This window comes from Homo sapiens, chromosome 19 (assembly GCF_000001405.40).
Source record: "Homo sapiens chromosome 19, GRCh38.p14 Primary Assembly".
In the NCBI taxonomy this organism is placed as follows: domain Eukaryota; kingdom Metazoa; phylum Chordata; class Mammalia; order Primates; family Hominidae; genus Homo; species Homo sapiens.
Genome location: NC_000019.10, coordinates 37872297 through 37884698, shown reverse-complemented (window position 1 = coordinate 37884698; position 12402 = coordinate 37872297). Strand labels below are relative to the sequence as shown.

General features: G+C 45.1%; 1 long non-coding RNA gene across 2 annotated transcripts in view; it reads right to left on the bottom strand.

Moving 5' to 3' along the window:
• The window catches only part of LOC105372395 (uncharacterized), a 40910-nt gene that overhangs the window by 11975 nt on the left and 16533 nt on the right, over window positions 1–12402 (bottom strand). The window contains exons 3-4 of one of the 2 annotated variants that reach the window (XR_935962.3): window positions 2463–2554; window positions 200–323 (exon numbers count right to left, since the gene is read on the bottom strand). This is a non-coding gene — a long non-coding RNA (uncharacterized LOC105372395). Of the gene's footprint in view, window positions 1–199; window positions 636–2462; window positions 2555–12402 lie in introns of both variants that reach the window. The other variant, XR_935961.2, reaches the window with a different exon arrangement.

Genomic DNA, 12402 nt, shown 5'->3' with positions numbered 1-12402 from the left:
GAGCCACCACGCCCGGCCCTAGACCTTCATCTCTAGGCCCACACAGAGGTAGGGCCAGGTCGAAGCCCTTTCCCAGCTCTGGAAACACAGCTTCTATATGTGGAATAAAGAGGAGGTTCTTCTTTGCAACAAGCACTTTGATGTGTTCTTTCCCCGCAAACTTTGGTTCCCCAGGAAGGTAGCCAGGGAAACAACTTACTCACGTACTCCTGAGAGAGGGGGAAGCTTCCCAAAAGACAGTGGTGTCCACTATGTGGATGTATTGAGGCAGACGAGTCTGTCCTTGTCCTCTTCATTCCTTCCCACCATCCTCCCCAAGCACTCTAAGAAGGAAAGTACCAGACACAAAAACTAATGTACATTTGGCATGAATTTGAGGGTTATTGATATAGTGGAAAGAGAATGGGCTTTAGAATCAGAAGATGCAACATTTTGTCCCTTAGTATTTGGGGGCCTACAGTGGGGCTGACTCTTTTTCTGATTGTAGTTCTGTATGCTGATGACTTGAGTTCCAGATAGCAGGAATGGTGGATGTTGAGGAGATTCTCAGAGTAAAGGAATAATCTTCGAGTTTTAGCCAGCACCACCTCCACCTGGTGACTTCATCACTGGATGGCACTAAGGGGTGAGGCCATCTGAAGTTAAAGCAAAAAAAAAAAAAAGTTTAGGCTAGGCATGGTGACTGACGCCTGTAATCGCAGCACTTTGGGAGGCCAAGGTGGGAGGATTGTTTGAGCCCAGGAGTTTGAGACCAGCCTGGGCAACATGGTGAAACCCCATCTCTACAAATTTTTTTTTTTTTTGGGTTGGAGTCTCACTCTGTCACCCAGGCTGGAGTGCAGGGGAGCACAATCTTGGCTCACTGCAACCTCCGTCTCTCAGTTCAAGCAATTCTCCTGCCTCAGCCTCCTGAGTAGCTGGGATTACAGGCGCGTGCCACCATGCCCGGCTAATTTTTGTGTTTTTAGTAGAGACAGGGGTTTCACCATGTTGGTCAGGCTGGTCTCTAACTCCTGACTTTGTGATCTACCCGCCTCAGCCTCCCAAGGTGCCAGGATTACAGGCATGAGCCACTGTGCCCGGCCTGTTTTTTAATTAGCTAGGTGCAGTGATGTGTGCCTGCTGTAGTCTCAGCTACTCAGGAGGCTGAAGTGGGAAGATCACTTGAGCCTGGGAGGTTGAAACTGCAGTGAGCCATGGTTGTGCCACTGCACTCCAGCCTGGGCAAGAACAAGGCCCTGTCTCAAACAAACAAACAAACAAACAAACAAAAAGGAGCTAAGCTGATGTCCCTATGTCTTTCATTCCCTTTACTACCATCTAGACATGGAATTTGGGTAGGGTGATAGAATAAGAATTTGGAAAACTAGGTGTAGGCTCAATTAGGCCCCCCCAGTTACTTAGGGACTTAATGAACCTTCCTTCTAGCAATTAAGGAGACAAGAGTTAAAGCAAAAGGAGTAGGCTGGGTGTGGTGGCTCACGCCTGTAATCCCAGCACTTTGGGACGTTGAAGTGGATCACTTGAGGCCAGGAGTTCAGGACCAGCCTGACCATCATGGTGAAAACCTGTCTCTTACAAAAATACAAAAAACTTAGTTGGGCATGGTGGTGTGTCTGTAATCCCAGCTACTCAGGAGGCTGAGGCAGAGGAATTGCTTGAACCCAGGAGGCAGAGGTTGCGGTGAGCCAAGATCATGCCACTGCACTCCAGCCTGGGTGACAGAGCGGAGACTTCATCTTAAAAAAAAAAAAGGGGGCAGTAAAGTTGTCACTGTTTTTCCCTGATCTCCTCTCCCTGCCACGGCAGAACTGCCTCTTTCCAGGCACGCTGAGGCTTACTGCTGCTTCTAAAAAGTAGTCCATCTTTACCATTTGCCACTCCCCACCCCAATCTCTCTTTTATTATCTTACCTCCTCTACCTCTTTTTTCTTTTGAGGGGAAGCAGAGGATAGAGGGCAAGAGAACATTCTGAGAAGTTAGATTCACCTCAGAGGCCAAGGGCAATGAGTGTCCTTGCTCTACAGTTGGGCTCTTCCATGGCAGACTACACGTCAGGCCACGCAGAATAGGTGAGAGCTGACCAGGCATGGTGGCTCACGCCTGTAATCCTAGCACTTTGGGAGGCCAAGGCAGGCGGAATGCCTAAGCTCAGGGGTTCAAGACCAGCCTGAGCAACATGGTGAAACTCCATCTCTACTAAAATACAGAAAAAAAAAATAGCCAGGTGTGGTGGCATGTGCCTATAGTCTCAGCTACTTGGGAGGCTGAGGCAGGAGAATTGCTTGAACCTAGGAGGCAGAGGTTGCAGTGAGCCAAGATCATGCCACTGCACTCCATCCAGCCTGGGCGACAGAGCGAGACTCCATCTCAAAAAAATAATAATAATAAAATAAAAATTAAAAAAAGGATATGTGAGAGCTGTGGGCTGGGAGCAGGAAGACTCAAAAAGGATGATTCACCTGACAGCCAGGCAAGGCAGCAGGAGTTAAGGATAGCCCAGCTGGCTCTGCAGTCTTGACCTGAGTCATTTCTCCTTTTGGCCTCTGTTTGTCTGTGTCAAAAAAAGGATAGTGCACAAATCACAAATATGAGGCATGAAAGAGGAGCCATCACTACAGATCCTACAGATATTTACAAAGATAAGAGACTGCTATGAACAACTCTATGTCCATACATTTGACAACGCAGATGAAATGGATAAATTCCTTGAAAGATCCAGAAAGAGAATAACAATACCTATCTGATTCATTTATAAATCTACCATCCATATTCCAATTTTGTCAGTTGACTTAATAATGTCCTTTATAGTAGATCTTTCTCTTTCATTGTAGGAGCTAGTCTAGAGTCAGGATATTAGTGAGTCCTCTGGTAAAAAGAAACAAAACCCAGCAGATAGTCTGTGGTGGTAGAGTCAGAAAGTCTATGAATGACTCTTCAGGGACACTCAGAATTTGGGTACTGACTGTGACAACCCAGATATCTTCCTGTCTTTGCCAGAATGTCAAAGAACAGTTGTTTGTGTTTTTATGAAAAATTTCAATCACAAAAGTAGAAGAGTATTATAATGAACTCCCAGCTCCCTATCGCCTATAATTAATTGTTAACATTTTGCCAAAATTGCTTCATCTATTTTTTTCTTTGTTGAAGTATTTTAAAGTAAATCCTAGACATCATATTTCAACCCTAAATACTTTGATATTTCAGCTCTAAAAAATAACATTTTTCTATATAATGATTTTCAAATGTAACAAAATAATTCCTTAATATCATCCAATACTCAGTCTATGCAAATTTCCGTGGTTGTTCCCCTCCCCAAAATGTTTTTTTTTTTTTTTTTTTTTTTTTCATTTTTTAGAGATGGGTTCTTGCTATATTTCTCAGGCTGACCTTGAACTCCTGGACTCAAGGGATCCTCCCACCTCAGCCTCCAGAGTAGCTGGGATCATTGGTGCATGCCGCCATGCGTGGCTCCCTAAATGTCCTTTTATACTTAGTTTGTTTGAATCAGAATTCAAATAAGAGTGTGACCCTATCTCTCTCTCTCTCTCTCTCTCTCTATATATATATATATATATAATATATATATAATATATATATAATATATATTATATATATAATATATATATATTATATATATATTATATATATTATATATATTATATATATATATTATATATATTATATAATATATATAATATATATATATTATATAGCCAGGCACATGCCTGTAATACCAGCACTTTGGGATGTGGAGATGGGCAGATCACTTGAGCTCAGGAGTTTGAGACCAGCCTGGCCAACATAGTGAAACCTCCTCTCTACTAAAAAATACAAAAATCAGCCAGGAGTGGTGGTGCATACCTATAATCCCAACTACTTGGGAAAGTGAGGCAGGAGAATCTCTTTAACCTGAGAGGCAGAGGTTGCAGTGAGCCAAGAGTGCACCACTGCACTCCAGCCTGGGAGATAGAATGAGCAAGACTCCACCTCAAAACAAACAAACAAACAAACAAAAAATTAGCCATGTGTGGTGGTGTGCGCCTGTAGTCCCAGCTACTCAGGTGGCTGTGGTGGGAGGATTACTTGAGCCCAGGAGTTCAAGGCTATAGTGAGCTATGATTGTGTCACTGCACTCCAGCCTAAGTGATAGCAAGACTTTGTCTCTAAAAAACAAAAAATTGAGTCTGGGAGTGGTGGCTCACACCTGTAATCCCAGCACTTTGGGAGGCGGAGGTGGGTGGATCACGAGGTCAGGAGTTCAAGATCAGCCTGACCAATATGGTGAAGCCCTGACTCTAGAAAAAATACAAAAATTAGCCAGGCGTGGTGGCACGTGCCTGTAGTTCCAGCTACTTGGGAGGCTGAGGCAGGAAAATCACTTGAACCTGGGAGGTGGAGGTTGTAATGAGCCGAGATTGTGCCACTGCACTCCATCCTGGGTGACAGAGCGAGACTCCATCTCAAAAAAAAAGAAAAAAAATTAAATAAGGCCTATATACTGCATTTGATTGTTATGCTTCCTAAGACTCTTTTAATCTTGAACATTTACAGTCCTGTCCCCAGCTTTTTCACACCATTGATTTGTGGAGGGTACTAAATCAGTAGTGCTGTAGACTTCTCCATGCTTTGGATTGTTCTGATAGAGCAGGGTTTCTATAATCTGAGGTCTAGATGTACTTTGAGAGTCCATGAAACTCTTCAAATTAAATGAAAAAAAAAAGTTGTTGGCATGTGTTAAGTGCTTTTTTCTGCTGAGAAAAAGTCTGCAGCTTTTATCAGATTCTTAAGGAGGCTCCTGACACAAATACATGAAATCAACACTTAAGGAGACAGCACAGGGCTTTAGCTCAGACATTGCCAATAAGCAGCTGAATGACCTTCAACAAGTAATGGCCTTACTGGGCCCTAGTTTTCTGATTTTTGAAGGGAGAATTGCATTTCAGATCTCTCCAGCATATTAGAAGGGGCTTCCAGCCTCCCATCTTTCTCCCAGCATGCGTGCTCAGGATAGTATGAGAAACTTTTCCTACCATGTACAGCCGCCAACTGCTTTGAACCAGGATTTAGGTGACAGGGAGTTTGGCCTTGAGTAAGACCTCAATGGGAGGAGGATCTTACATTTCTGGAAGAATATGATTTGCACAGACTAAGGTGAGTGAATAAAGACACTAGATTGAGGCCAGGCACAGTGGCTCACACCTGTAATCCCAGCAATTTGGGAGGCAAAGGCGGGTGGATCATGAGGTCAGGAGATTGAGACCATCCTGGCTAACATGGTGAAACCCCGTCTCTACAAAAAATACAAAAAATTAGCCGGGCGTCGTGGCGGGCGCCTGTAGTCCCAGCTACTTGGGAGGCTGAGGCACGAGAATGGCGTGAACCCAGGAGGCGGAGCTTGCAGTGAGCCAAGATCACGCCACTGCACTCCAGCCTGGGTGACAGAGCAAGACTCCATCTCAAAAAAAAAAAAAAAAAAAAAAAAAAAAAAGACACTAGATTGAGATTGGGAAATGACCCTGAGGGTGTACAGAAACTCCTAGATAGGTTGGCTCTGAGGACTGAGCCCTGGGCACTCCAGTGTTTGGAAGGGGAACTGTCAAGGATATTTAGAAGGAGCGGCCAGGAATGTAAGAGAAAAACCAAAAAAGTGGTGTTCAGAAGTGAAAAGATGCACACATTTCAAGAAGGAGGGAGTGATAAACTATGTCAAATACTGATGGGTCAAGTAAGAGAAAGAGTGAGAGAAGTCACCATTGGAGTTGGCAAATGGGTATATTTGGTAACCTTGACAAATGCATTTCAGTGGAGTTGTGGGATAGGTGGTTTGATTAGAGTGGGTTTAAGAGAGAATGGGGCCGGGCGTGGTGGCTCATGCCTGTAATCCCAGCACTTTGGGAGGCCGAGGCGGGCGGATCATGAGGTCAGGAGATCGAGACTATCCTGGCCAACATGGTGAAACCCCATCTGTACTAAAAATACAAAAATTATCTGGGCATGGTGGTACGTGCCTGCAATCCCAGCTACTTGGGAGGCTGAGGCAGGAGAATCACTTGAACCAGGGAGTTGGAGGTTGCAGTGAGTGGAGATCATGCCACAGCACTCTAGTCTGATGACAGAGCAAGACTCCGTCTCAAAAGAAAAAAAGAGAATGGAACAAAAGGAACAGGCTCACTGGGGTTTTTGTTTGTTTTTGAACTTATTTTATTTTGAGACAGAGTCTCTCTCTCTCCCTGGCTGAAGTGCAGTGGCATGATCATGGCCCACTGCAGCCTCAACCTCCTCTGCTCAGGTGATCCTCCCATTTCAGCCTCCTGAGTAGCTGGGGCTACAGGTGTGTGCCACCATGCCCAGCTTGAACTTTAGAACATTATTTAGAAATTATTTCAAATTCCCAAAAAATCGAAAAAATAAAACAATGCAATAAAACTCTATGCCCTTTATTCAGATTATTGTTAAAATATTACCTCATTTGCTTATTCTGTCTCTCCACACACATACACATAAACAATTTAATATTTATCTGGAATATTTGAGGGCAAGTTACATAGAACACTTCAGTATGTACTTCCTAAGGATAGGGATATTCTCTTATATAATTGTTGTACAGTTATCAACTTCATACATTTGCAATACTTTACATCCATAATCCCATTCTGTCAGTTGTCCTAATAATGTCCTTTAAATCATTCTTTTTTTTTTTTGAGATGGAGTTTCGCTCTTGTCGTCCAGGCTGGAGTGCAGTGATGCGATCTCAACTCACTGTAACCTCTGCCTCCCGGGTTCAAGCGATTTTCCTGCCTCAGCCTCCCAAGTAGCTGGGATTACAGGTGCCCACCACCACACCCAGCTAATTTTTGTATTTTTAATAGAGACGGGGTTTCACCATGTTGGCCAGGCTGGTCTCGAACTCCTGACCTCAGGTGATCCACCCACTTTGGCCTCCCAAAGTGCTGGGATTACAGGCGTGAGCCACCATGCCCAGTCTAAAGCATTCCTTCCCTTCCATTGTAAGAGCAAACCTAGGCTGGGCACAGTGGCTCATGCCTGTAATCCTAGCACTTTGTGATACTGAGACAAGAGGATTGCTTGAGGCCAGGAGTTCAAAACCAGCCTGGTCAACATAATGAGACCCCATCTCTAAGCAAACAAAGAACCAATCTAGAGTCAGATATTGATTGCATTTAGTTATCATGTCTATTTTATGTCCTTTAATCTGGAACATTTCTACAACCTTTATTTGCCTTGTATAATATTGCCATTTTAAATTGTGGTAAATATATAAAACATAAAATTGACAACAGTAACTTTTTTTTTTTTTTTTGAGAGGGAGTCTCACTCTGTCGTCCAGGCTGGATGCAATGACGTAATCTCAGCTTACTGCCACCTCCGCCTCCCAGGTTCAATCAATTCTCCTGTCTCAGCCTCCCAAGTAGCTGGGACTACAGGCACAGGCCTTCACACCTGGCTAAGCTTTAAACATTTTTTTAGAGACAGGGTCTCTCTATGTAGCTCAGGCTGGTCTCAAATTCTTGCACTCAAGTGATCATCCCACCTTGGCCTCCCAAAGTTCTAGGATTACATGCGTGGGCCACTGTGTCCAGTAACATCCTAATTTCATCTTTCCACAACTGTTACTCCTCCAGTTCTTCCCATTCTCAACAAATGGCAATTTATGTTCTTCCATTTACTCAAGCCACTTGAAATCATTCTTGATTCCTTCCTTTCACTTATACCCCACAGGAGGTCCTATCTGGCTTTACTGGCCAAGCTACCATCTCTTATTTGGATTATTATAATGAACTCATTCATCTCACTGCTCCTGCCCTAGACCTCTCATATTCTATTCTCCATGCAACAACCAGAAGGATCCTTTGAAAACAAACATCAGGCTGGGCGCAGTGGCTCACACCTGTAATCCCAGCACTTTCCCTGCTCACAGCTGTAATCCCAGACTTTGAGAGGCTGAGGTGGGAAGATTGCTTGAGGCCAGGAGTTTGAGACCAGCCTGGGCAACATAGTGAGACCCTGTCTCTACAAAAAAAGAAAAAGATTAGTTGGGTATGATGGCACCGCCTGTGGTCCCAGCTACTTGGGAGGCTGAGATAGGAGGATCGCTTGAGCCCAGGAGGTCAACACTGCAGTGACCTATGATTAAACCACTGCACTCCAGTCTGGGCAACAGACTGAGACCCTGTTTGTAAAAAATGAAAATTAAAAAAATAAAAAACAAACTTTGGATCATGCCATTCCCTTTGTTCAAAATCCTCCAGTGGCTCTTCACTAAGAGGACAGGCCAAAGTCCTTACAATGGCCTAAAAGGCTGACATGATTTGCAGCCGAGCCCCTCCCCTCACCTCTCTGAGTACATGTCTTATCACTTTTCCTCTCACCCAGCTCCAGCAACCATGCTCAAATATGTCAAGTGCAATCCCCCCTCAGGGCCTTGGCACTTGCTGTTCCTTTTCCTGGAATGTTCTTCCCCAAAATAAACATATGGTTCACTCTTCACTTCCTCCAGATCGCTACTGAAATACTGCTTTATCAGAGAGGCCTTCCCTTCCCCCCCTGGCATTCTCCATTCTCCTTACTTGGCTCTATTTTTCTCTGTAGTACTTAGCAATTGACATATATTTATTTAATGCTCTTCTCTCCCCACCAGAATGTCAACTCTATGAAGAAAATCATTTTTTTTTTTTTTGGGAGGGGGGTTGTTTGTTTGTTTTTTGTTTTTTTTGAGACAAGAGTCTCGCTCTGTCACCCAGGCTGGAGTGCAGTGGTGCTGTCTGGGCTCACCACAACCTCCACCTCCTGGGTTCAGGTGATTCTCTTGCCTCAGCCTCCAAGTAGCTGGGATTACAGGCACACACCACCACGCCCCGCTAATTTTTGTATTTTTAGTAGAGACCAGGTTTCACATGTTAGCCAGACTGGTCTCAAACTCCTGACCTCAGGTGATCCACCTGCCTCGGCCTCCCAAAGTGTTGGGATTACAGGCGTGAGCCACTGCACCTGGCCAGGACCATTTAAAATATATAAAAGAAATATATTTTGGGGTAAAATATTTTTATTTCCTTCAGGGTCGGCTGTCATGTGATGCTATATCAGAGTTAGGTTGAAATTTTGTATCTTATTGTCACAAAGTCTGTATTTTTCAGTCTTAGGATCTCTATTTTAACCTCAATTCTGGTCAATTGTGCCTAAACTCCAAAAAAGTGGGGGCAGGGCATAGGATCAGGCGTGTCCAATCTCCCTTCCTGTCATGGCCAGGAATTCAGGTTTTCAGGTTTCTCTGGGGTCTCCTTGGCCTGGAGGAGTTCCTTTCAGTTGGTTGGTGGGGGAGCTTAGGTTTTAATTTTTGGTTTACAGTTAGCAGTTTCTGACTGGTTAAGTCTCTAGTTTTGTTTTACTGTTTACATTGGGCTTCAGGTTGCTTATGTAGGAACCCAAATCACTGGATCTGTCTCAGCCCAATGACCTCCCAATTAAATTTTTTCCTGTTAAAAAACAAACATGGGGTTTCTAGCTCAGAAATCAGACAATATTATTACACACAGCAAGAACTGCATCAGTTTCCCATGTCCAGTACCCTACAGGTGACATGGCAGGAGCCAGATGGACCATGACCATACAACAGAGTTTCTTGCCTCACAGGGGACAAACCCTGAAAGTGTAAACCTGACAGTTTATGTAGACTACGTGCTGCCCACGTGCTTCACAGCCCTCCTGAGAGAGGGAGAGAAAACTGATCTCCCTAGTGTAAACAAGTGCTTTGGAATGTGAATAAATTCTCTCAGGAAGAGAACGGAGAGTCCCTACCTTGGAATGCAAGCATTTCTCCCTGAAATAAGTTTTTGTTTGTTTGTTGTTGTTGTTTTTTAAGAGGGAGTCTCACTCTGTTGCTAGGCTGGAGTGCAGTGGCATGATCTCGGCTCACTGAAACCTCCACCTCCTGAGTTGAAGCGATTCTCCTGCCTCAGCCTCCCGAGTAGCTAGGACTACAGGCACGTGCCACCACGCCTGGCTAATTTTTGTATTTTTAGTAGAGACGGGGTTTCACCATGTTGACCAGGATGGTCTCAATCTCTTGACCTTGTGATCCACCCACTTCGGCCTCCCAAAGTGCTGGGATTACAGGTGTGAGCCACCACGCCCGGCCTGTTGTTGTTGTCTTTTGAGACAGGGTCTCACTCTGTCACCTAGGCTGGATTTCAGTGGTGCACTCACAGCTCACTGCAACCTCAACCTCCCTGGGCTCAAAGGATCCACCTGTTATAGTAGGTAGCTAGTCCGTGTCCCCTGTGCCCTGCCCCAAAAATCTCTCTAAAATAATAATTGGTCACAGTCGGCACCAGGGAAAGGCAGTATCCCAATAGATAGAAAACTCCTGGAACTGCTGATCAGCAGCTTCCCTATAAGATCTTAGGACTTGGGCAAGTGGGCTCAAGCATGTGCACTAAGAGGCAAAATGGCTGTGTTTAACTGGTATATGACCTTCTTCTAAGAACACTTGACTAGTAAGGGAAGAATGCTTCAAGTGGGCATGTGTACATCTTCGGTAAACACACTGCGCATGCACCCCCTCCCAAGTGCTGGCCACAAGTGGACAGCCCACCCCAAGGAAAGAATCAGGGAAGGAATGCCACCCCCCAGAAGCATATCAATGGATAAACCTCCAAGTCCGTATAAAATCCCAAGTCCAGGGTTAAACCACACACCTGATCTCCACCTGCTTGGACCTCCTCCAAGTGTATTTTATTTCCTTTCTTTCCAGCTCTAAAGCCTTTTTTTTTTTTTTTTTTTTGAGACGGAGTCTCACTCTGTTGCCCAGGCTGGAGTGCAGTGGCACGATTTCGGCTCACTGCAACCTCCGCCTCCCGAGTTCAGGTGATTCTGCTGCCTCAGCCTCCTGAGTAGCTGGGACTACAGGCACGTGCCACCACGCCCGGCTAATTTTTTTATTTTTAGTAGAGACAGGGTTTCACCATGTTGGCCAGGCTGGTCTCAATCTCTTGATCTCATGATCTGCCCTCCTTGGCCTCCCAAAGTGCTGGGATTACAGGTGTGAGCCACTGCACCCAGCCTTTAAAGCTTTTTAATTAATTTTCACTTCTCCTTTACAATGTGCCTCAGTCTCTCACCCTGCCTTATGCCCCTCGGTCGAATTCTTCTGAGGAGGCAAGAATTGAGGTTGCTACAGACCCTATGGATTCACCACCACTAACATATTTTGTTGCTGTGTGTCTCAGATACATTCCCTAAAGTGCTAACACACCTACTTCAGCCTCCCAAGTAGCTGGGACTACAGGCATGCACCATCATGCCTGGCTAATTTTTGCATTTTTTTGTAGAGATGGGTTTTCAGCATGTTGCCCAGTCTGCTCTTGAACTCCTGGACTCAAGCAGTCTGACTGCCTTGGCCTCCCAAAGTGCCGAGATTACAGGCAAGAGCTACCACACTCAGCCAAGATAAGTTTTATTATCCTTGCTCTGTCGCCCAGGCTGGAGTGCAGTAGCACAATCGGCTCACTGCAAGCTCCACCTCCCAGGTTCACGCCATTCTCCTGCCTCAGCCTCCCAAGTAGCTGGGACTACAGGCACCCGCCACCGCACCTGGCTAATTTTTTTGTATTTTTTTAGTAGAGATGGGGTTTCACCGTGTTAGCCAGGATGGTCTCAATCTCCTGACCCAATGATCCACCTGCCTCGGCCTCCCAAAGTGTTGGAATTACAGACGTGAGCCACTGCGCCTGGCCAGTTTTATTATCCTTTGAATGGGAGCAGACGGCTCCAAGTTTAACACCATTGGCATGTGACGATCAAACGGGTCTGGAGAAAAGGAAACATTTTCTAGCACATCTAAGCAAGTTCTCCTGTGCTCAGGAAACCAAACCAGCAGAAACACAAAAATAATCACGGAGCATTGACAGAGACTTTGAGGGAAAGGCTAGAGAGGCTGAAGAACAATCAGAAAGTGTAGGACTAGAGAAGCCAAAGGAAGAGGAGTGCTTCAAGGAGAGAGTGGCCAGTAGGGTCAGCTACTGCAGAGAAAAGGACTGATGGGGCTTCACTGGATTTAGCAACAAGGAGATTGTGACGACCTTGACCAAAGCCAATTCAGTGAGTAATGAGGGTTGAAGCTAGACTGTAATGGGTGGAAGAGTGCCCCATGACTCAGATACATTCCCCAAGTCCTAACGATACCGGAGGTAGAAAGAAATTATTTAGGGAGGTAGTGAAGGCAAAAGAGTCCTCGGCAGAATTTCTTTTCTAACAAAAAGCAGCCCCCAAATCATTTCTTTTCTAAACAAAGAGCAGCTTGAAAAATCGAGCTGCAAACATAAATAAGGAAGCTAGAAGCTTGCATGGGGGAATGCCAGCAGCAGGGCCAACAGAAAAGGG